This window comes from Homo sapiens, chromosome 5, assembly GCF_000001405.40.
Source record: "Homo sapiens chromosome 5, GRCh38.p14 Primary Assembly".
Classification (NCBI taxonomy): domain Eukaryota; kingdom Metazoa; phylum Chordata; class Mammalia; order Primates; family Hominidae; genus Homo; species Homo sapiens.
In genome coordinates this window covers 110,671,435-110,697,728 of record NC_000005.10, presented here as the reverse complement: position 1 = coordinate 110,697,728, position 26,294 = coordinate 110,671,435, and the positions used below count along the sequence as shown (strand labels likewise).

General features: G+C 37.0%; 1 protein-coding gene and 1 non-coding gene across 21 annotated transcripts in view, besides 1 other annotated feature; both read left to right on the top strand.

Moving 5' to 3' along the window:
* Positions 1-26,294, top strand: part of TMEM232 (transmembrane protein 232) — a 351,524-nt gene that overhangs the window by 41,226 nt on the left and 284,004 nt on the right. The gene's annotated exons all lie outside the window — the stretch shown is intronic.
* Positions 5,140-5,640: an enhancer, noted in NCBI's record as "H3K4me1 hESC enhancer chr5:110027790-110028290 (GRCh37/hg19 assembly coordinates)". NCBI's record gives its function as "activates a minimal SCP1, AML or CMV promoter by ChIP-STARR-seq in primed H9 embryonic stem cells {active_cell/tissue: H9 hESC(primed)}" and the evidence as "EXISTENCE:reporter gene assay evidence [ECO:0000049][PMID:30033119]".
* LOC124900207 (small nucleolar RNA SNORA51) lies at positions 12,802-12,935 on the top strand. The gene has a single exon (XR_007059156.1). It is a non-coding gene; the product is annotated as a small nucleolar RNA SNORA51 (small nucleolar RNA).

The following is a 26,294-nucleotide window of genomic DNA, read 5'->3' as shown; positions in this document are numbered from 1 at the left end:
GCATTTCTCTGATGGCCAGTGATGATGAGCATTTTTTTATGTGTCTGTTGCTGCATAAATGTCTTCTTTTGAGAAGTGTCTGTTCATATCCTTTGCCTACTTGTTGATGGGGTTGTTTGTTTTTTTCTTGTAAATTTGTTTGAGTTCATTGTAGATTCTGGATATTAGCCCTTTGTCAGATGAGTAGATTGTAAAAATTTTCTCCCATTCTGTAGGTTGCCTGTTCACTCTGATGGTAGTTTCTTCTGCTGTGCAGAAGCTCTTCAGTTTAATTAGATCCCATTTGTCAATTTTGGCTTTTGTTGCCATTGCTTTTGGTGTTTTAGACATGAAGTCCTTGCCCATGCCTATGTCCTGAATGATATTGCCTAGGTTTTCTTCTAGAGTTTTCATGGTTTTAGGTCTGACATGTAAGTCTTTAATCCATCTTGAATTAATTTTTGTATAAGGTGTAAGGAAGGGATCTGGTTTCATCTTTCTATGTGTGGCTAGCCAGTTTTCCCAGCACCATTTCTTAAATAGGGAATCCTTTCCCCATTTCTTGTTTTTGTCAGGTTTGTCAAAGATCAGATGGTTGCAGATATGCGGCATTATTTCTGAGGGCTCTGTTGTGTTCCGTTGGTCTGTATCTCTGTTTTGGTACCAGTACCATGCTGTTTTGGTTACTGTAGGCTTGTAGTATAGTTTGAAGTCAGGTAGCGTGATGCCTCCAGCTTTGTTCTTTTGGCTCAGAATTGACTTGGCAATGCGGGCTCTTTTCTGGTTCCATATGAACTTTAAAGTAGTTTTTTCCAATTCCGTGAAGAAACTCATTGGTAGCTTGATGGGGATGGCATTGAATCTATAAATTACCTGGGGCAGTATGGCCATCTTCATGATATTGATTCTTCCTACCCATGAGCATGGAATGTTCTTCCATTTCTTTGTATCCTCTTATTTCATTGAGCAGTGGTTTGTAGTTCTCCTTGAAGAGGTCCTTCCCATCCCTTATAAGTTGGATTCCTAGGTATTTTATTCTCTTTGAAGCAATTGTGAATGGGAGTTCACTCATGATTTGGCTCTCCGTTTGTTATTGATGTATAAGAATGCTTGTGATTTTTGTACATTGATTTTGTATCCTGAGACTTTGCTGAAGTTGCTTATCAGCTTAAGGAGATTTTGGGCTGAGACTATGGGGTTTTCTAGATATACAATCATGTCATCTGCAAACAGGGACAATTTGACTTCCTTTTTTCCTAATTGAATGCCCTTTATTTCCTTCTCCTGCCTAATTGCCCTGGCCTGAACTTCCAACACTATGTTGAATAGGAGTGGTGAGAGAGGGCATCCCTGTCTTGTGCCCGTTTTCAAAGGGAATGCTTCCAGTTTTTGTCCATTCAGTATGATATTGGCTGTGGGTTTGTCATAGATAGCTCTTATTATTTTGAGATACGTCCCATCAATACCTAATTTATTGATAGTTTTTAGCATGAAGCTTGTTGAATTTTGTCAAAGGCCTTTTCTGCATCTATTGAGATAATCATGTGATTTTTGTCTTTGGTTCTCTTTATATGCTGGATTACGTTTATTGATTTTCGTATGGTGAACCAGCCTTGCATCCCAGGGATGAAGCCCACTTGATCATGGTGGATAAGCTTTTTGATGTGCTGCTGGATTCAGTTTGCCAGTATTTTATTGAGGATTTTTGCATCAATGTTCATCAGGAATATTGGTCTAAAATTCTCTTTTTTTGTTTTGTCTCTGCTAGGCTTTGGTATCAGGATGATGCTGGCCTCATAAAATGAGTTAGGGAGGATTCCCTCTTTTTTCTATCGATTGGAATAGTTTCAGAAGGAATGGTACCAGCTTCTCCTTGTACCTCTGGTAGAATTTGGCTGTGAATCCATCTGGTCCTGGACTTTTTTTGGTTGGTAAGCTATTAATTATTGCCTCAATTTCAGAGCCTGTTATTGGTCTATTCAGAGATTCAGCTTCTTGCTGGTTTAGTTTTTGGAGGGTGTATGTGTCGAGGAATTTATCCATTTCTTCTAGATTTTCTTGTTTATTTGCATAGAGGTGTTTATAGTATTCTCTGATGGTAGTTTGTATTTCTGTGGGATCGGTGGTGTTACCCCTTTATCATTTTTTATTGTGTCTATTTGATTCTTCTCTCTTTTCTTCTTTATTAGTCTTGCTAGCAGTCTATCAATTTTGTTGATCTTTTCAAAAAACCAGCTCCTGGATTCATTGATTTTTTGAGGGGTTTTTTGTGTCTCTATTCCCTTCAGTTCTGCTCTGATTTTAGTTATTGCTTGCCTTCTGCTAGCTTTTGAATGTGTTTGCTCTTGCTCCTCTAGTTCTTTTAATTGTGATGTTACCGTGTCAATTTTAGATCTTTCCTGCTTTCTCTTGTGGGCATTTAGTGCTATAAATTTCCCTCTACACACTGCTTTGAATGCGTCCCAGAGATTCTGGTATGTTGTGTCTTTGTTCTCATTGGTTTCGAAGAACATCTTTATTTCTGCCTTCATTTCTTTATGTACCCAGTAGTCATTCAGGAGCAGGTTGTTCAGTTTCCATGTAGTTGAGTGGTTTTGAGTGAGTTTCTTAATGCTGAGTTCTAGTTTGATTGCACTGTGGTCTGAGAGACAGTTTGTTATAATTTCTGTTCTTTTACATTTGCTGAGGAGTGCTTTACTTCCAACTATGTGTTCAATTTTGGAATAGGTGTGGTGTGGTGCTGAAAAGAATGTATATTCTGTTGATTTGGGGTGGAGAGTTCTGTAGATGTCTATTAAGTCCTCTTGGTGCAGAGCTGTGTTCAATTCCAGGATATCCTTGTGAACTTTCTGTCTCTTTGATCTGTCTAATGTTGACAGTGGGGTGTTAAAGTCTCCCATTATTATTGTGTCGGAGTCTAAGTCTCTTTGTAGGTCACTAAGGACTTGCTTTATGAATCTTGGTGCTCCTGTATTGGGTGCATATATATTTAGGATAGTTAGTTCTTGCTGAATTGACCCCTTTACCATTATGTAATGGCCTTCTTTGTCTCTGTTGATCTTTGTTGGTTTAAAGTCTGTTTTATCAGCGACTAGGATTGCAACCCCTGCCTTTTTTTGTTTTCCATTTGCTTGGTAGATCTTCCTCCATCCCTTTATTTTGAGCCTATGTGTATCTCTGCACGTGAGATGGGTTTCCTGAATACAGCACACTGATGGGTCTTGACTCTTTATCCAGTTTGCCTGTCTGTGTCTTTTAATTGTAGCATTTAGCCCATTTCCATTTAAGGTTAATATTGTTATGTATGAATTTGATCCCGTCATTATGATGTTAGCTGGTCATTTTGCTCGTTAGTTGATGCAGTTTCTTCCCAGCCTTGATGGTCTTTGCAATTTGGCATGTTTTTGCAGTGGCTGGTACTGGTTGTTCCTTTCCATGTTGAGTGCTTCCTTCAGGAGCTCTTTTAGGGCAGGCCTGGTGGTGACAGAATCTCTCAGCATTTGCTTGTCTGTAAAGTATTTTATTTCTCCTTCACTTATGAAACTTAGTTTGGCTGGATAGGAAATTCTGGGTTGAAAATTCTTTTCTTTAAGAATGTTGAATATTGGCCCTCACTCTCTTCTGGCTTGTAGAGTTTCTGCCGAGAGATCCGCTGTTAGTCTGATGGGCTTCCCTTTGTGGGTATCCCGACCTTTCTCTGTGGTTGCGCTTAACATTTTTTCCTTCATTTCAACTTTGGTGAATCTGACAATAATGTGTCTTGGAGTTGCTCTTCTCGAGGAGTATCTTTGTGGCATTCTCTGTATTTCCTGAATTTGAATGTTGGCCTGCCTTGCTAGACTGGGAAAGTTCTCCTGGATAATATCCTACAGAGTGTTTTCCAACTTGGTTCCATTCTCCCCGTCACTTTCAGGTACACCAATCAGACGTAGATTTGGTCTTTTCACATAGTCCCATATTTCTTGGAGGCTTTGTTTGTTTCTTTTTATTCTTTTTTCTCTAAACTTCCCTTCTTGCTTCATTTCATTCATTTCATCTTCCATCATTGATACCCTTTCTTCCAGTTGATCACATCGGCTACTGAGGCTTGTGGATTCGTCACGTAGTTGTTGTGCCGTGGTTTTCAGCTCCATCAGGTCCTTTAAGGACTTCTCTGCATTGGTTATTCTAGTTAGCCATTCATCTAATCGTTTTTCAGGGTTTTTAACTTCTTTGCCATTGGTTGGAACTTCCTCCTTTAGCTCAGAGTAGTTTGATCTTCTGAAGCCTTCTTCTCTCAACTTGTCAAAGTCATTCTCTATCCAGCTTTCTTCTGTTGCTGGTGAGGAGCTGCATTCCTTTGGAGGAGGAGAGGCACTCTGATTTTTAGAGTTTCCAGTTTTTCTGCTCTGTTTTTTCCCCATCTTTGTGGTTTTATCTACCTTTGGTCTTTGATGATAGTGACGTACAGATGGGTTTTTGGTGTGGATGTCCTTTCTGTTTGTTAGTTTTCCTTCTAACAGTCAGTACCCTCAGCTGCAGGTCTGTTGGAGTTTGCTGGAGGTCCATTCCAGACCCTGTTTGCCTGGGTGTCAGCAGCAGTGGCTGCGGAACAGTGGATATTGGTGAACCGCAAATGCTGCTGCCTGATTGTTCCTCTGGTTGTTTTGTCTCAGAGGAGTACCCGGCCATGTGAGGTGTCAGACCGCCCCTACTGGGGGGTGCTTCCCAGTTAGGCTACTCGGGGGTCAGGGACCCACTTGAGGAGGCAGTCTGCCTGTTCTCAGATCTCGAACTGCGTGCTGGGAGAACTGCTACTCTCTTCAAAGCTGTCAGACAGGGACATTTAAGTCTGCAGAGGTTACTGCTGCCTTTTCTTTGTCTGTGCCCTGCCCCTAGAGGTGGAGCCTACAGAGGCAGGCAGGCCAGCCTCCTTGAGCTGTGATGGGCTCTACCCAGTTCAAGCTTCTTGGCCACTTTGTTTACCTACTCAAGCCTTGGCAATGGCAGGCACCCCTCCCCCAGCCTTGCTGCTGCCTTGCAGTTTGATCTCAGACTGCTGTGCTAGCAATGAGCGATGCTCCATGGGTGTAAGACCCTCTGCGCCAGGTGTGAGATATAATCTCCTGGTGTGCCGTTTGTTAAGCCCGTTGGAAAAGCGCAGTATTAGGGTGGGAGTGACCCGATATTCCATGTGCCATCTGTCACCCCTTTCTTTGCCTAGGAAAGGGAATTCCCTGCCTCCTTGCGCTTCCTGTGTGAGGCGATGTCTCGCCCTGCTTCAGCTCACACACGGTGTGCTGCACCCACTCTCCTGCACCCACTGTCCGGCACTCCCCAGTGAGATGAACCCGGTACCTCAGTTGGATATGCAGAAATCACCCATCTTCTGCGTTGCTCACTTTGGGAGCTGTAGACTGGAGCTGCTGCTATTCGGCCATCTTGGCTCCACCCTCACCTTAAAGAAATTTTAAGTTAATTTTATTCTGATCCAAGTTTGAGGACTAATAGCTCGGGAAACACAGACTCAGTCAGTGCAAACTGAGAATGTGGCCGGGCGTCGTGGCTGACAACTGTAATGCCAGCACTTTTGGAGGCCGAGGCGGGCAGATCATGAGTCCGGAGTACAAGAGCATCCTGGCTAACAGGGTGAAACCCCGTCTCTACTAAAAATACAAAAAAATTAGCCGAGCGTGGTGGCGGGCGCCTGTAGTCCCAGCTACTCAGGAGGCTGAGGCAAGAGAATGGCTTGAACCCAGGAGGTGGGGCTTGCAGTGAGCCGAGATCACGCCACTGCACTCCAGCCTGGGCGACAGAGTGAGACTCCGTCCCAAAAAAACAAAAAACAAACAAAAGAATTGAGAATGTGTTCCCAAATGGGCTACACAAAACACTGTATTTATACATTCTGTTACATAGGAAATAGAAGAAGGGGAGCAGTGAAGTGAAAGTGACATTCTTATAATTTTGAGTGATGCTCATTTACATTACATGTAAGATAAAGCAAATATGTGGTTACGGTATGTAGGGTAAAATGTTAATGAGCATGTAGGTTTCTTATGATCTGGAAAGTGATGACTTATTATATCTTGCCTTTGTGTTTTATCTGATAGACAAAGTTGTAATCAGTAAACATTGATGAAATATTTGACAGAATCCAGCCCTGCAGAGGAGAGTTCAGTTTTAGTATGTAGGCCTAGTTTTTATTATGCATATGGCTAACCTGAAGCCATCTTGGCCCACTTTTAGAATTTTATTTCCATTTTTCTTTTTCTGTTAGTTGCAAATAAATAAAAAGTACTGGCATACAACATAAATCCAATACAAGAATTCATGGACAATTACATCCCTTTTGTAGCTCCTTCCTAAACCATTCATCACATTAGCAGTTTGCATCAAAGACAAAGGGCTTCCTATGGTGAATAAAGGAGATTTGAAATATTTAACTAAGTATGCCAGAACAGGGATTTATAATTTCAGTATCAGCTCATTGTGATTTTCCTGAATAAATTAGTAAATAAGTGATTGATAGGAATGGAAATATTTCCTGTTTAAACTTTAATGATGCTTTTAAACTCATTTTCCTCATTGTCCAAAGCTTCCTTTCTTTCTTTTTTTTTTTTTTCCTTATACTTTAAGTTCTGGGATACATGTGCAGAACATGTGGGTTTGTTACATAGGTATGCACGTGTCATGGTGGTTTGCTACACATGCCATGGTGGTTTGCTGCACCCATCAGCCTGTCATCTAACTTAGGTATTTCTCCTATTGCTATCCCTCCCCTACCCCCACACCCCCAACAGTCCCTAGTGTTTGACGTTCCCCTCCCTATGTCCACATGTTCTCATTGTTCAACTCCCACTTATGAGTGAGAACATGTGGTGTTTGGTTTTCTGTTCCTGTGTTAGTTTGCTGAGAATGATGGTTTCCAGCTTCATCCATGTCCCTTCAAAGGACATGAATTCATCCTTTTTAATGGCTGCATAGTATTCCATGGTGTATATGTGCTACATTTTCTTTATCCAGTCTATCATTGATGAGTATTTGGGTTGGTTCCAAGTCTTTGCTACTGTGAATAGTGCTGCAATAAGCATATGTGTGCATGTGTGTTTATAGTAGGATGATTTATAATCCTTTGGGTATATACCCAGTAATGGGATTGCTGGGTCAAATAGTATTTCTGGTTCTAGATCATTGAGGAATCACTACACTGTCTTCCACAATCGTTGAACTAATTTACACTCCCACTAACAGTGTAAAAGCGTTCCTATTTCTCCACATCCTCTATAGCATCCATTGTTTCCTGACTTTTTAATGATCGCCATTCTAAGTGGTATGATATGGTATCTCATTGTGGTTTTGATTTGCATTTCTCTAATGACCAGTGATGATGAGCCTTTTTTCGTATGTTTTTTGACCACATATATGTCTTCTTTTGAGAAGTGTCTGTTTACCCACTTTTTGAAGGGGTTGTTTATTTCTTGTAAATTTGTTTAAATTCATTTTAGATTCTGGATATTAGCCCTTTGTCAGATGGATAGACTGAAAAAATTTTATTCCATTCTGTAGGTTGCCTGTTCACTCTGATGATACTTTCTTTCGCTGTCTAGAAGCTCTTTAGTTTAATTAGATCCCATTTGTCAATTTTGGCTTTTGTTGCCATTGCTTTTGGTGTTTTAGTCATGAAGCCTTTGCCCATGCCTATGTCCTGAATGGTATTGCCTAGGTTTTCTTCTAAGGTTTTTATGGTTTTAGGTTTTACATTTAAGTTTTTAAACCATCTTGAGTTAATTTTTGTATAAGGTGTAAGGAAGGGGTCCAGTTTCAGTTTTCTCCATATGGCTAGCCAGTTTTCCCAATACCATTTATTAAATGGGGAATCCTTTCCCCATTGTTTGTTTTTGTCAGGTTTGTCAAAGATCAGATGGTTGTAGATGTGTGGCATTATTTCTGTGGCCTCTATTCTGTTTCATTGGTCTATATATCTGTTTTGGTACCAGTACCATGCTGTTTTGGTTACTGTAGCCTTGTAGTATCGTTTGAAGTCAGGTAGTGTGATGCCTCCAGGTTTGTTCTTTTTGCTTAGGATTGTCTTGGCTATATGGGCCCTTTTTTTGGTTCCATATGAAATTTAAAGAAGTTTTCTCCTAATTCTGTGAAGAAAGTCAATGGTAGCTTGATGGGGATAGCATTGAATCTATTAATTACTTTGAGCAGTATGGCCATTTTCACGATATTGATTCTTCCTATCTTGTCCAAGGGTTTCTAAAGCACCTGTAAACACTTTAAATGCTTCAGTTTTCAGTATTTTGAATATTAGTGTTTTGTGTTGATTACAGATTATATTTATACTTACTATTTCTGAAAAAAATTGCCAATTTTTAAATTTAGTACTATAAAGTTAAAATTTACATAGTAGTTATGAATCAGTTGATGAACATATATATGTATGCAATAAATAGTATTTCTGTACTTTCTTTAAATTGGCTACTCCAAGACTCTGTTTTGCTTGATTGGTTGAATATTTCCTCTCAATTGTTATTAGCCCTGCCCTTGCCCCAGGGTTTACAAAGGTCCTGGGTACTGTCAATGGAAGACAAGTCTCAATCATTTTTGGAGATTTATTTGCCAAAGTTAAGGATGCGCCTGGGATACAGGTCTATGCCTTTCTCTGAAGATGATTTTGAGGGGTCCAAATTTAAAAGGGAAAGGGTGGTATATTGAGAAGCATACAGTTTTCACAAAAACAAAAGGGTCAAAGGAAAAATGGGGGGAATCTTCATTTTACATAACACCGACAAATGGGGTAGGGGAACAACCAGATATGCATTTGTGTCTGGAGAGCTGGGTTGACTGCATTTTTATAAAGCTATCAATTTGCATTGCCATGGTGAAGTTTTAGCAGCTCACCAGGAATTTCCCTGTGGGCAAAACATGGGGGAGGCAAGTACCTTTTCATTGTATAGCCATCTTATTTAGCAGCCAAAAGGTGGAGGCAGGTTTGTGTGACCCAGTTCCCAGGTTGACTTTTCCTTTTGGCTAAATGAGTTTGGGGTCCCAAAATTTAATTTCCTTTCACAGTGCTCATGCATCAACAAAGCACTGGAGAGGTACCTCAGGGTATTGGGTCAATTGTCCCATCTATATGGCCTCCTTTGGTTTGTCATACCTCTTATGGGCCACAGTTAGGCCCAGGGAAGATTTTTATGCCTCTACTAAGCTGTGGGGTCCTGTCTCCTAAGGCACAAGGCCCAGCCATTTCTTTTGAGGTGCTGTCACCTTCTGGGAGTGCTACTCCAACAGAGGAAATGTATCTGAATGACTTCTGTTACATTCCAGTCTCAGGAGACATCTCTCTCTCTCCACAATCCCAAGAATTTTGTTTCTCCCCATATGACACTTACTGTCATCTCTTCAACAAGCTTAGCTTTTTACTTTTGTCTTCTGAAATCATAATATAAGGCAGCTTCAGCTTTCTGCCTTGAAGTTCAGGCATGAATGGAAGAAAATCTTCATCTATCCAACTACCTATGTCTCTATGTATCTATATGGTTATCCATATAGAAATGAAATTCTACATTTATCTTCTGCCAGAACTCATTTGTGGATAAATTAATAACTTAATTGTCAAAGCAAGACTATTAAAAATTACACACACACACACACACACACACACATCCCCTCAGAGTAGAGAAGTACAAACCATGAAGAGAGAGGAGTTACTAAACAAAATATGCAAAGCCTTCATACTTAAGAGACATCAATGATATCCCATCACCTATATGTCTCTACTTCTCTTTTACAAACCAAACATTTTTATTTTTTTAACTATTTCCAAAAGGGACATTGTGTTACATTGCCTCACCTTTCCCTTCACACTACTCTGCAAATTTCCAAATGGTGTTTTCTAATGTAAGTGTGGTACCCCAAAATGAATAAGATAATCCATTTTCCAACATATTTTGCACCAAAGGTTTGCAATTAGGATTTATAATATGTACGTATGTATATGTGAATATGTGTGTGTGTGTATATACACACACATGTATAGAGAGAGAGGGAGAGACAGAGAGAGAGACAAAGAGAAAGAGAAAGAGAAAATTTGACTTTGTAATAGAAACCAAAACTACCTTTTTTTCCCAAAACAATAGATATAAATATAAAGCATATACTCAAACCTTATGCTCCAGGAATCTGGATAGTCCCTATGAGTTTGGATTTTATTTTATTGGCAATAAGGTTGTATTACAGGGTCTGAAATTAAAGGGTCTGAAAGGCTGGTAGAAGAGTGAAATGATTAGGAGATTTATGTTTGGGAGTCATGTAAAAGATGAGACTAGAATATCAACCTAAAGGAAAAAATGGAGAGAAAATTAATATAGAGAGTTTATTTGGGTCAGATTTGAGGACTGCAACCCAAGAGACAGATTCAAGTTGCCCTGAATATATGCTCCAATTAGCAGCAGTTACACGTGGGTTTTTAAAGGAAAGAAGAGGCAGTTCCTAAGCTGTTTACCAATCACTTACATTAAAATAACATAAAGTGTTGATTAGCTATACCTGGTTCTTGTGCCACAAATTCCAAGAACATGAAGATAATGGGTGAGGCAGCACTATTCAAACTCCCCTGAGTTATTTTTCTTTTCTCAGGGGGAAGAAAGGTCAGAAGGAGAATGGTAGATAAGCAGTTATTGTATTAATCTAGGACAGAGATAATGGCATCCTGATCTGGGAGAATGAAAAAGGGATGAAAAGCAGACTTGATTAACAGTGCTCCTTTGAAGATGAGGATCAATAATACATAATGACCAATAGTAGCTCCCCAGTGATGTGATGCTACATGAGCCTGTGAACAACCTGAAGTCAGGGGAGGCCTAACAATGACCGTGAAAGGAAGATTTAGACAGAGCCTTGGTCTCATGACTGTGAAGCTGCCCAATACACCCTACATTGTTTTTGAACTTTTATGTTCTTTTATTTTTTATTTTCGTACATCAGAGAGAAATATGCTTCTATACTGTTTGAGCCCTTATTTTTATTTCTGTTATATGTCGCTAAACCTAATTCAAATACAGTATTTTCTCTTATAATCTTATTTGTACTGAAGTAAAATTTGCATATAGTGAAATGTACAAGTGTTCATACAACTCAATAAGGGTTCTGGTTATCTATAACTTAGTGGCTTAAAACAATTTTTTTTTTTATCAACTCGCACAGTTTTGGAGTTGACTGTCTTCTCTGGATAATTATCATTTGGGGTATCTCCTTAAACCACAGGATGTGGTTTGATGTCAACTGAGTCTCTAGTCATCTGAAGACTTGATTGGGTTGGACAACCAAAATGGCTCTCTCACATGCCTGGCAGTTTCTGCTTGCTGTTACTTGCGCACTTGGTTAGAACTATAAACCTGATCCTCTATACATGGCTCTCCATGTGACATTGCCTTCTCATAGCATGGTGGCTGGATTCTGCATGTCCCAAGAGACCCAGGAGCAAACTGTAAGGCTGTTTTAGTAGTTTGGCCTCTGAAGTCCTAGAGTGTCACTTCTGCCACATTCTGTTAGTCAACTAAGTCACTGAATTAAGCCCAGATTCACAAGTATTGGGATTAGACTCTATCTCTTGTTTGGGGGAGTGGCAAGGTCACATTGCACAACATACAGTATGGGAGATACTGCTGTGGTCATCTTTAAAAATTTAATCTGTTTCATTGAGTTTTGATACATACATATACCCATGTTACCATCCCTAATATATAATATTTCCATCATGCCACCTTCCATTCAATCCTTACACCTCCCATAGACCATCACCATGCAGTAGTTTTGTCTGTGCTTGAATTTCTCATATATGAAATCACATAGTATGTACACTTTTGTGTTTGGCTTTTTTCACTCAATGTAGTATTTTTGAGATTTATGCATGTCGTTGCTTGTAGCATTAATTTGTTCTTTGTTGTTACTGAGAATAATCCTATTATATAAACATACCACAAATTGTTTATCCATTTTCCCACTGACAGATGGTTGAGTTGTTTCTGGTTTGGGACTATTGCGAATAACAGTACTATAGGCATTCTTGTACAAGTCTTTTTATGACAGTGTTTTCATTGCTTTGGGAATGGAATTTCTAGGTCAGGGTGTAGGTGTACAGTTAACTTACAAAGGCACAGACAAATAGATTTCCTACATTGTTATAGCTTATTTTCACTGCCATCAGCAACATATTAGAGTTTCATTGTTCTATATTCCTCAGAATTTGGTATTGTCAGTTTTTTTAATGTTAGCAATTCTAGTTAGTGTGAAATAGAAGTTCATTATGCTTTTAATTTGAATTTTTCCAAAGACTAATGATTTTGATCATACTGGCTTTGTTGATCTTTCTCAGATTTTGTTCTGTATATCACCAATATCTGCTCTTAAAACTTCTCTTCACTTCCACTTTTTTGGGGTCTACTTTGCTGTTATTTTTCCCATTTGTAATGTTGGCTAATTAATTTTTAGCTTTCCTTTGCTGTTAGATGAATGTTTATGTAACATTTCCTCTGAAGTGCCATTTTCTTGCACATCATAAGTTTTTATATGTAGTATTTTACTATCATTTAATTCTAAATATTTTTCAAATTTCATTGTTATTTCTTTTTTTGAGCCGTAGGTGACCTAGAATTAGTGTTTTTTATTTCCCAATATATGTAGAGTTAATTTATCCTTTTGTTATAATTTTCTAACTCAATTGTGTTTTGATGTCAGGGAATATAATCTACTCATGTAGATTACCTACATTTTGCAATTCGTTAAGACATACTTTCTAAGCTAGCATGTGATCAAGTTTTAGAAATTGTTGGCCTCCTGGTGCTTACAAGCAGCTGTGTGCTTGCATTGACTGTACAGAAAAAAAGAGATAGAGTAAACACACCCCGTATACAACTCAGCCCAGGTCCTGTGCCTTGTCTATATTGTGAATAGGGGGGACATAGAAAAAACAAGAGAGAGATAAATTGTTCTTGTGTGTTTGGGAAAAATGTATATTCTCTAATAAATAAATATAGAATTCTCTATATGTCCATTTGGTCAAGCATAGTAATTATATTGCTTCTATAGCTTTGCTAAATTTTTGTTGTTTGTTGTTGCATACTTATCAGTAGTTAAAAAGAATAACTCGAACTCCTGTTTACTAATTTATTCTCACAGAGCTGCACTTACAAACCTCTTTCTCTAACATGTTTAAAATAGCTTTTCATTTCTCCAGGGGCTTAGCTCAAGTGTTTTATTTTTTCTTTTAATCTATAATATCTTGGATTTCACGTTTCCTTCTTTAGTCCTTCAAAGTTGCTTTTAGAGACAGGAGCCAAAAGCCATCTTTACTGGCACTAAAACTCATGTCACTAACTTTTCTGTATTAATTGTTTATCCAGAAATCTCTTCTTAATTGGATATAATCTATTTTTTGTTTGTACAGATTCTTCAGAGATTTTAATGTAAATATTTAAAAAATAAATATGGTCCCTCTTCTTTTCATGTATTTATATTCTTTATTCTTTTTCTTTTTAAGGTTATTCTTGACTGCAACTGCCTATTACATTTTGAGTAGTAGTAATGATATAGACACCCTTTTATGGTTTCTGGCTTTTAAGATAAAGCTTCCAATGATTTATCATTAATTATCATGTTTGTTTTAGTTTTTCCTAGATACATTTAATTAAAATAAGGAGAACTGTTCTTAGCTTGGAAAGTTTTTTTATTTGTTTTTAGAATCATGAATGGAAACTGAATTTAATGGAATTATTCTTTGGCATATATCAAAATATTTCCTACTATTTTGCTTTAAGTACATCAATACACCAATGTTATGGTCTGTAAAAATAGATTTTACAGTATTAAATCATCCTTGCTCTTCTGAGACTAAACCCATCTCCGTTATAATGAATTCTTTTTTATTGATATCCCTAGGTATGGTTTTCTTATGTTTTGTTTAGAAATGTTTGCAGCTAGGTTAATAGGTAATATTTCCCAATAAGTACCCTTTCCCATACTGCCACAGATTCTATAACCTTGAGTGGCTCAAAATTTTATATATTTTTGTATAGAATATAATAAGATTGTTGAAACTCTAAAAAGGCATAATAATAATAAAACTACTAAAAGCCTTAGGAAGATATTCTGGAAAGAAAGAATGAGCATAATAAAAATAGATAATGATAAAAATAATTAAAATGATTTTATTAACAATTTTAAAAGCAGTTTTTGTTTAAGCGTGCTGGTTATTCTTTTGATTATTATAATATTAGATATTGTATTTTTTTGGTTGTTTAAACATCTAAGAGAATCACATGTACTCTCTCTCTATATATATATTACAAGGCCACAACATATATATGTGTGTGTGTGTATCTCTTTGTAATTTATAATTTAATGCTTAAAAATTGTTACATCTATGTAATTGTGAATCAGTACTTTCAGTATTTTATTATAAAAGGCCAGCTATGCACAAAGGTTAATAAATCCCCATTTATTTTTAACCTGTATTTTATAGTTATCAATTAAACCCACACATTTTGATGTACTAATTTTGGAATATTTTCATGTTTAAAGTATTTATTGCTTAGTCCATTTATATAATTAATTAAAAGGGTATTACACAAAAAAACACATAATAAGTAATAAGTGTTCCTTTCCACTTGGATAGTAAGGTCCCATTAACAAGCAAGACCAATATAATCCCTATTTGTAGATGAGATAACTGAGGCACCTGCAGTTAAAGTAATCTGCACAATGAAACAGACATAGTCTGTTCTGGAGCAAGGATTAAAGTAAGCTGCTGATTCCTGCATTGCACACTTACCCACCATACCACACAGAAGTCTGAGAGGGAGAAAAGCCAAATGTCCTAGGAGTGTAATGATGAATGAGAAAGAAGACACTTAATTCCAGAAGGGGTGGTTGGCAGGGTCAGATACCATGGAGGGATCAGGTAAGATCAGTACTGAAAAGCTCATAGTGGATTTGTCTACTGGGATATTCTTGTCAGCCTTGGAGAGATCATCTCAAAGCTGAGGTCATAGCAGAAACTATATTCTAGATACTACATTTTTTGTACTAGAATAAATTTAAGAGTAAATATCATTTAATATAAAAACCATATCTGATATAATTAAAGCCTGAAATCAAGCCATTTTTTTGGCCATTTCAGATAAATATGCAAGGTAAATTTTTGAAATCTATTTAAATTATCAGAATTTACCCCTGGGAAGTGGTAAAGAAAATGTGGCAGCTACTTTAGACCATCTTCCACAGTGGGATGCTTTATAAGCCAAGAACATTAGAGCAAGCAGAGAGCTGGGTCCTAGAAATAGTTGGTGTCTAAAATAATTGTTGTTTTTTTTTTAACCTTTCATTTCATTATTTAGGGAAGGTTTTGCTTATTTTAAAGGGAGAGCAATTCAATCATTCAGATCATTTTTATTCACTTAATGTTTTATTTCCATTTCTATCCACAAATTTAATGAGTACCCTGTGTTTTGGGACTGTAGAAAATAAAAAGGATATTTTAATCTTAAGGATAATTTTAATTTACTTAAAGCTATTATTTCCTTTTACATCATCTTTTGCTGATTCAGGAAAAATTATAGCTACTTCTTGACAGTGATGTAAAAGTGAAATAATCCAATTTAACAAGTTTATTTTAGTTTCTTTACATTTAATTGTGATTTTACTGCAAAGTAAAAAAAATGTGTCTTAATAGCAGAAGAAGTTAAAATTTTTAGCCTCATTTTATTTTTTTATTTCTGTTGTAAAATGGTCTGGGGTTACTAAAGACTATGAAATATCATGAAATATGCTACTGTTGTCTCCTTTTTGTACAATTCACAAGTCAACATGCTCTATGCATATAACTCTCCCGAGAAGGAATGAAATGTTATGAATTATTTCTGCAGTAGGTTTTAATAGATGGTTCAAGACTCTCTTTTTAGCAAATAGCATTTTAGAAGCTGAATGTTTGAACTCCATTACTGATTAGTATTTGTGACCAAGTTCTATTATTCAACTCCACTTAAACTTGTAACTGTAACTTGTTTTTGCTAATCTCTTCTGGCAAATGGTTCTCAACCATTTAAATATTCCACTCTACTTCAAAGTGTCTTTGAGAATTTAGGTCCAACAATGAATAACACAAACCCCCTTTTTTCGGATGAAGATAGATATTTAATCTCTCTCACGCATTCAACTATTAAATGGCTATCATTCACTGACACCCTACAATATGGAGAATATTTTATCTTACTTAATCCTCAGGCAACTCTGCTTAGATATTATCATTTCTGTTTTACAGGTGAGAAACTGAAACTTGAACAGGTAGGGAGTGCTTATTGAATAATTAGGGAAGAGGGATCCAGAAGCCAAGTACCTAGCATTCCTGCCCACCTTCCTGCTGCCCTGCTCCTCCCGGAAGCAATTGCCATAGAAGATACAGATGTGGCTGTTTACATTCCTCCCTGGTCCTCAGTTAATCCTTGCAGGCATCACTGGGAGTCTCACCCCTCGGCCAAATTTCTAGTCTTTTTATGGCTATCAACACTGCCTGAGAAATTGTCGTATACAAGTGGTTTTCAACCAGTGAGCCCATGAAGAACTACCTCCCCTGGCTTTTATGAACTGCACATTTCCTTCCTCCTCAACCTCTTTGCTGGAGCTCTTAGAGCGTCTAGAGTGGTATTGGCAGAATCCTGGTGTTGGAGTGTCGTCGTGTATAGTTTGAAACAATCCCCATTTCACTCTGCCCTCACCCTTCTCTTTTCCCTCTCTCTTTACCCCTTTTCTTCCTCCTTTCTCTTTGCAGATTCTTCTCTACCCCTACCCATACCCCATTTTCCTCTCTCCTTTAAGGCAAATCAGATTAGATGGGTTAATTTAAAAACTCCTTAGGTGATTTTACTTTCTTTTTCCCTCCTTCCCTAACTCCTGTGACCTTCTGAACCCCCTTCCTCAAATATGAAAAATATGTTAATGTCAGTGCAGTTATTTTAACACAGATTTTCTGATTCTAATTATTTTCTATTTTTTTTCCAAAAAAAGACATATCTAGCATGCTCATCCTATAATAAATGTTTAAATTTTAATGTAGCTTCTTTTTAGAGAAGGTTTTCTGCTTTAGAATATGGTTTTACTCAATAATAGAAAAATGTTTATGTTAGAGTAAGGGATTGTACTTGACCAAAGCTAAAGAACAAAATAAAAGAAGACCAAGAAAAAGATTATTCTACTTCCTACATCTCTGCAAACCTTATACTTTTCATGTTTATGTCAAAGCTCTGATTTTGTTACACAATGACTTTAAGCTACTTAGGTTGCTTTTTTTTTTTTTTTTTTTTTTTTTGAGATAGAGTCTCACTCTGTTGCCTAGGCTGGAGTGCAGTGGCACAGCATTGGCTCACCGCAGCCTCCACCTCCCGGGTTCAAGTGATTCTCATGCCTCAGCCTCCCGAGTAGCTGGATTACAGGCATGTGCCACCACACCCAGCTAATTTTTTATTTTTAGTAGAGAAGGGGTTTCACCATGTTGGTCAGGCTGGTCTTGAACTCCCTACCTCAGATGATCCTCCTGCCTCAGCCTCCCAAAGTGCTGGGATTACAGACGTGAGCCACTGCACCAGGCCTTGGGTTGCATATTAAACTCACCTGGGGAGCTTGAAACAAAACAGGACAAACACACATTCCTGGACAACTCCAGAGACTAAATGTAATAGGTCTGGAGTTAGGATGTAAGGAATCAGCAGACATATGATTACTTTTTAAAGATGCTTTTCCAACTCTCTGTAGAGTACCAATTTTAAAACTTCTAAATTGTCATGGAAAAATTAAAATGAAAGATAATTACCATGAAATGAAAAATAAAAAGACAGCCAAAAATCAAATGTAAATACTTAGAACCAACAGACATAAAATTGCTTTTGAGTAAATATAATCTACACAAATATAACACAGTGGAAAGGAAAACAATTGCAAAATTATATATATTAATGAGTGAAAATACATGTAACTAATTAATATGGAGATAAATATTATGCTCATAACTTTTTGTCATTCCTCAATCATAACAAAACAAAGATATTAGTGAAAGAGTAATTTCATATGTTAAAAATCTATATGCAGATAAAAATCTAGATGACCTGGAATATGGTGATGACTTTTTAGATATGACACCAAATACATGTTCTATGAAAAAAAATTGATAAGGTCGACTTCATTAAATTTCAACTTCTGTCCTGTTAAAGACAATCCCAATAAAATGAGAAGGCAGGCACAGACTGTGAGGAATCATTTGCAAAAGACTCATTCGATAAAAGATGTTATTCAGAATATACACGGAGCTCTTAGAAACTCGAAAAGAAAAAAACAAGCAACATGATTAAAAATGGACCAAAAACCTTAACAGCACCTCAACAAAGATGAAATATAGATGGCAAATAAACATGTGAAAAGATACTCTATATCATAAGTCATCAGAGAAATGCAAATTAAAGCAATAATGAGATACTACACACACTATTAGAATGGCCAAAAGTCAGAACACTGACAACACCACGTCCGGGCAAGGACATGGAACAACAGGTGCTCTCATTTGATGCTGGTGGGAATAAAACATGGTATGGCCACTTTGGAAGACAATTTGGTGGTTTCTTACAAAGCTTACTTTGTAAGAAATACTCTTACCATAAGGTACAGCAATCATGCTGCTTGTTACTTACCAAGAGGAGTTGAAAACTTAAGTCCATAGAAAAACCTGCACATGAATGTTTTAGCAGCTTTATAATTCTTAAAACTTGAAAGCAACTAAGATGTCCTTCAGTAGATAAATGGAAAACAGTGGTACATCAGTATGGTAGAATATTATTTAACACTAAAAATGAATATGCTATTAAGTCATAAAAAGACATGGAGGAACCTTAAATGCATATCACTAAATGAAATAAGCCAATCTGAAAAGGCTACATAGTGTTTAATTCAAACTATAAGACATTCTGGAAAAGGCAAAACTACAGACAGTAAAAAAACTAGTTGCCAGGCATGGTGGGGGGTCGGGGTGCTGGGGCTGATGAATAGACAGAGCATAGAGGATTTTTAAGGTATCAAAAACACTCTGTATGATACTATAATGCATACATGACATTATACATTTGTCCAAACCCATAGAATGTGCAACACCGAGTGAACCCTAATGTAAACTATGGACTTTGGGTAATTATGATGTGTTGATGTAGATTTACCAATTATAACACATGTACCATTCTGGTCCAGATGTTGATAATAGGACAGGCTGAGCAAGTATGGGAGTTGGAGGTATATGGGAAATTTCTGTGCTTTCCTCTCCAATTTTGCTCTAAAACTGCTCTAAAAAAGTAAAGTCAGGCTAGGCATGGTGGCTCACACCTGTAATCCCAATGTTTTGGGAGGCTGAGGCAGGGGAATCACCTGAGGTCAGGAGTTCGAGACCATCCTAGGCAACATGGTGAAACCCCGTCTCTACTAAAAATACAAAAATTAGCCAGGCTTGGTGGTGGGTGCCTGTAATCCCAGCTACTCAGGTAGCTCAGGCAGGAGAATTGCTTGAACCTGGGAGGTGGAGGTTACAGTGGGCAGAGACTGCACCATTGCACTCTAGCCTGGGCGACAGAGTGAGACTCTGTCTCTAAACAAATAAATAAGTAAAGTCTTTAAACAAACAAGAAAACAACCCATGTGCACATAGGGAACACACATTACGTATATCAATATCAAAATTTTTAATGTGACCAGTAATCTTTCTGATGCTTCTTAATTTTATCCAATTTGGATTGAATTTCAATAGTATTCTTTGCATGAACTAACGTATCTCTCCACTGTTTCTGTATTTTGTTTGAATAATATTCATAGTAGAAAAATGAGTCTCACCTAAGTATGATGATGGGAATCAAAGAAGAAATTTTTTTCAAATATCATCAATTTAAGAATGTTAAATTTTTTGCCTAACATAAAATTTTGCTGTATTTTCAAAATTTAATGTCAAACGTTTTACCAGCAGCCAGTTCCTATAAGTTCTCCTATTACTCTACACCCAAACAAATTATATTTTAAAGAAAGAAATGGATTCTGGATTCATGAACTCCTTATGTGTGAATCTTCTTTAGAAAATAAAATCTAAACATTCCATCAAATAATACGATGCTTAGTGATAACTTTTTACAGACTGCAATATAAAGATTATCACCCACTTCAATGATAATTGCTAAATTATGAGATATCTTGTTTTAGTTTTCTATTGCTACCGAAACAAATTACAACAACTTAGAGGTTTAAAATAACTTTCATTTACTATCTCACAGTTCTTTTGGTCACAAATCCAGGCAGATTCAGCTGGGTTCTCTGCTTGGTGTCTCACAAATTGAAACTAAGATAGCAGATGGAAAAAAAATATTTGCACACCACACATCCAAAAAAAGGTTAATATCCATTATATTTAAGGGACTCAAACAACTCAATAGAAAAAAAAAATTAGACAATTAAAAAAAATGAACATAGAACCTGTATAGACATTTCTCAAAAGAAGATACACAAATGGCCAATAGATATATGAAAAGATGCTCTGCATCACTAATCGTCAGAGAAATGCAAATTGAGACCACAATGAGATATCACCTTATAACTGTTAGAATGGCTATTACACAAGCAATGAGGCAGGGCGCGGTGGCTCACGCCTGTAATCCCAGCATTTTGGGAGGCTATGGCAGGCAGATCACCTGAGTTCAGGAGTTCAAGACCAGCCTGACCAACATGGTGAATCCTCGTCTCTACTAAAAAATACAAAATATTGGCCCGGCATGGTGGCAGGTGCCTGTAATCCCAGCTACTAGGGAAGCTGAGGCAGGAGAATCGCTCGAACCGGGGAGGTGGAGGTTGCGATGAGCCGAAATTGCTCCACTGCACTCCAGCCTGGGCAACAGAGTGAAACTCCGTATATTAAATAAATAAATAAATAAATAAATAAATAAATAAATAAATAAAAGATGAAGGGTCCGGCATGGTGGCTTACTCCCATAATCCTAGCACTTTCAGAGGCTGCAGGGAGTGGATCTCTTGAGCTCAGGAGTTTGAGATCAGCCTGGGCAACATGGTGAAAACTCATCTCTACTAAATAAATACATACATACATACATACAAACATTAGATGGGTGTGGTGGCTCACACCTGTAGTCCCAGTTATTTGAGCGGCCAAAGCGGGAGGATCGCTTAAGCCCAGGAGGCGGAAGTTGCAGATTGCAGTGAGCCCCAAGATCGCGGCCAGTGCACTCCAGCCTGGGTGACAGAGTGAGACCCTGTCTAAAAAAAAAAAAAGAAAAGGGAACCCTGTACACTACTGGTGTCAATGTAAATTAGTATAGCCATTGTAGAAGTTCCTTAAAAAAAAAATTGAAAATAGAACTACCTTAGGAACCAACCATCCCACTACTGGGTATGTATTCAATGGTAATGAAATCAGCATGTCAAAGAGACATCTGCACTCCCATGTTCATTGCAGCATTATTCACAATAGCCAAGATATAAAATTAATCTAAGTGTCCATTGATGGAGGAATGCATAACAAAAATGTAGTATATATACCTAATGATATGTAATTTAGCTTTTAAAAATAAGGAAATTCTGTCATTTGAGATGACATGGATGAACTTGGAGGACACTGTGCTAAGTGAAATAAGCCCAACATGGAAAGAAAAATATGCCATGTTTTCACTTATACGTAGAATCTAAAACTATCAAACTCATAGAAGCAGAGAGTAGGATGATGGTTGCCAACAGCTAGGAGTGGGAGGTAGAAATGGGGGATGTTGGTCAAAGGGTAACAAGTTTCAGTTAAAATCAATAAATTCTGGAGATCTGTTGTACAGCATGGTGACTATAGTTAATACATACTTGAAAGTGGCTCAGCGGGTTGACCTTAAATTTTCTCACTACACACAAAAAAAGATAACTGAAGTAATGGAGATATTAATTAGCCTGATTGTAGTAATCATTTCACAATGTATGCATATATGAAAACATCACATTATACAACATAAATATATACAATTCTTATTTGTCACTTACATTTGCTCAGTAATGCTGGGGGTGGAGAAAAGGTGCCAGCTGAGCTAGTCTGTTACCTGGAGGCTCTGGTAAAGAATGTACTTCTAAGATCATCCAGATGGTTGGCAGAATACAGCTCCATGCAGTTGTAGAAATGAAGTCTCCGTTTTTCTTTTGTTTTAATTTCGTCTTTGTCGTTATTTGGCTGGAGTCAGTATTTCCCAGCTTCTAGGTTTCTGGTGTAAACTCCTCCATTTGAATAACTACTCCAAGCGATTACCTACCATTGCAGCAGTCCTACACAAAGCTTACTTGTAAGAATTTTTAAGGCCAGGCACGGTGGCTCATGCCTGTAATCCCAGCACTTTGGGAGGCTGAGGCAGGCAGATCACTTGAGGTCAAGAGGTCGAGACCAGCCTGACCAACATAGTGAAACCCCGTCTCTACTAAAAATAAAAAAACTAGCTGGGCATGGTGACGTGCGCCTGTAATCCCAGCTACCCAGGAGGCTGAGGCAGAGAATCGCTTGACCCTGTGAGGTGGAGGTTGCAGTGAGCCGAGATTGCGCCAATACACTCCATCCAGCCTGGGTGACAGAGGAAGACTCTGTCTCAAAATAAATAAATAAATAAATAAATAAATAAATAAATAAATAAATAGAATAATAACAAATGCAAGCTTTTCTAGTTTTATTCCATTCAGAGCTAATTATACTTGTAAATAATGGTGCTAATCCAACAGTTCTACCTTTCTGTCACTAATATGTCCAAATTGCACTTGTGGTAAAGCAATTGCTGAAGTTTGCAGTGTCTGTGCGTTTCTAAAGTTGCAATGAAAAATAGTTTACTAGATTTATTTGTTCTCTAAGTTTGTCTCCATATTGTCAACCAGTGCTGAGTACATTGCACGATGTGGTCGACCAGTGCTGAATACATGGCAAAGATTCATTGGAAATCTCTGATGTGTAGTCTGTGACTCTTTTTTGTCAATTAACTATGTCTTTTTAGTCTTAGCAATATAAAGTGCTATTGGCTACAGCCAACAGATGAAATATTAGTACTTTTCAGGTTCTTGTAATACTTTCAAACATTTTTTAGTTTGAACTTCTTTATGGTTTACATAAATGGCATTTAAAAGGTGATGTTTATTGCTTCATTAGACATACATATTCAGAAATAATATACTTTGGTTTTAGCACCTCACAAAATCAAACTCAATACGTAAAAGACTAATAGAAATTCTTGGTTTCTTATTTCTTTGGAATAACTTCGTCATTATTTGCTTCATTACTTTTTTCACATTCATGCAAATTAAACATTTTTACCTTCATAATTTTATATGATTCACAGTAAATACTTGTCAAATTTACATTTATTACTACATTTATCAAATTAACTCCTTTGCACATTCCTGATTCTTGATTATTGTTTTTTCTTGACCAAGAAAGGTCTAGTAAAGTTTATTTTGTCATCAGTAAATTAGAATAAAATGATGAATTTTTACTTTGCTAGTTTAGCTAATTATGTTAAAAATGGGTTAAAAACCAGACTTGATGTAAATTAGAATAATTGCAAAATAACATGTAAAAATTAAATGCTTACATTTTCTCAGATATTTTGTAGTTTGTGTTGGAGTTGGAAAACGAATTTTTTTTTTCCTCAGACTGCTTTTTTTTTTTTTTTCATGTTACCTCTTTATTTTGATCTTAACAAGTTTCAGTGTAAGGAGATAATCAGGCCTTTATAGAAATCATTCCTTTATCACTAAATCACAAAAAGCAAAAGTAAAATGTATAAACTGGCAAAAAGTATACAATCTGAATTAAAGGGTTAATAATAAAACCCCATTCGTATGGCCATACCGTTTCACTTTGGGAAGAAAGAAGGTTGTTAACTGATAGGCGTATGCTTTTCTTCATTTATTAGGACATCTTCACTGCTTCCATCCACGAAAACTTCAGAATCCAATGATCCAGGTCAGCCCAGTGCAATCAACAGTGAGCCAAATCAAAAAGCAGCCCAACTTCTACCTCATAATCCCCACACAGGCTGGGAGCTGCTGGGTTCTACTAGGTGAATTGAATTGCTCCATGCCAGTGGAAAAATGTTTTTACATCAGTTTTTCCTAGTAGATGTTTAAAAAATTACAAAGAATTTTCCAATCGACCTTACGTGACCCTCTAAAGCATTTATTCTATTTAACTCTACCTTTTTTTTTTAGTTATACTTTAAGTTTTAGGGTACATGTGCACAACATGCAGGTTTGTTACATATGTATACATGTGCCATGTTGGTGTGCTGCACCCATTAACTCGTCATTTAACATTAGGTTTATCTCCTAATACTATCCCTCCCCCCTCCCGCCACCCCACAACAGGCCGTGGTGTGTGATGTTCCCCTTCCTGTGTCCATGTGTTCTCATTGTTCAGTTCCCACCTGTGAGTGAGAACATGCGGTGTTTGGTTTTTTGTCCTTGCAATAGTTTGCTGAGAATGATGGTTTCCAGCTTCACCCATGTCCCTACAAAGGACATGAACTCATCATTTTTTATGGCTGCATAGTATTCCATGGTGTATATGTGCCACATTTTCTTAATCCAGTCTATCATTGTTGGACATTTGGGTTGGTTCCAAGTCTTTGCTATTGTGAATAGTGCCGCAATAAACATGCGTGTGCATGTCTCTTTATAGCAGCATGATTTACAATCCTTTGGGTATATACCCAGTAATGGGATGGCTGGGTCAAATGGTATTTCTAGTTCTAGATACCTGGAAAACGAATCTTAAAATAATGCACAATGCAATGTGGTCTTATTGTACATGCAATAATAATAATAATAATAACAATAAAAATAATAGTACTAAATTCTTTTGCTGATAGCTCCAAGCTTTGGGATCTACTGGGAATTTGATGAATAATATCTTTAGAAAAGAACTAATATTTTTTTCTGAAAGTTGATGACATTTTCAGATTCTCTATGTTTATTTTTGGGGGAGGGAGGATTATTTTGAACCTTTTTGTTTATTTGTTTATTTACTTTATTGGGGATTTAATTCCAACATCTCTATGCTAAATATTTATGGAGGCATTAATTTTCTTTTTCTTTTTGGAAATTTGAAGTTGTTTGGCTATTTTTTCCCATTACTCTTAGTCAAAAGCAGTCCTAAGTAATAAAATATATTAGAGGGCACAAATTGTCTCTCTTGTATATCACAACTCTACTCAAATAATGGTTTACAAACTTGTGTTGGTTAAACACTTTTACCAGTACTGCTAAAATAAGCCAGAAATTTAGAGTAAGCATTTAGAAACTTGTATTTTTGATGTTTTATTCCATCCCACTGGAGAAGTTTCTTTAACAGGGCATTGTGGAACTTGCATGTTGAGAAGAAAGTGCAAATATCTACCACTATTAGCAGCAGATGTGAGGAATCTTTGGACAATAAGTTCAGTGATTAAAAGATAATGTTTAAAATAGTCTCTAACTTCTTGAAACTCAAAAAATATTACTAATTATAGCCAACTCTGTGAAATATCTCAAGAAATAGCCAAAAGCTTCAGGTCAATTTGCCTAACATAATGTACATGAAAACCAGTTTTAGCCTTCAATTTCCCTTCAATTACTTTTTTTCTTTCTGGATGGCCTGTATTTTTTTCTTTTCCATCCATTTGGCATTAAATGCTTTAAGCTAATTTATCTAAGAGTATTTCTAACTCAATTTTATATTTCTAGATATTTCTGATATATGCAATATTTTGTGAATAGTGGGCTTTTTAAAATTATATTTTAAGTTTTGGGATACATGTGCAGATCATGCAAGTTTGTTACATAGGTATGTACATGCCATGGTGGTTTGCTGCACCCATCAACCCATCATCTACATTAAGTATTTCTCTTAATGCTATCGCTCCTCTGGCCCCCCACCCACTGACTGACCCTGGTGTGTGATGTTCCCCTCCCTGTATCCATGTGTTCTCAGTGTTCAACTCCCACTTATGAGTGAGAATACGCAATGTTTGGTTCTGTTCCTGTGTTAGTTTGCTGAGAATGATGGTTTCCAGCTTCATCCATGTCCCTGCAAAGGACATGAACTCATCCTTTTTATGTCTGCATAGTATTCCATGGTGTATATGTGTCACATTTTCTTTATCCAATCTATCATTGATGGGCATTTGGGTTGGTTCCAAGTCTGTGCTATTGTGAATAGTGCTGCAGTAAACATACGTGTGCATGTGTCT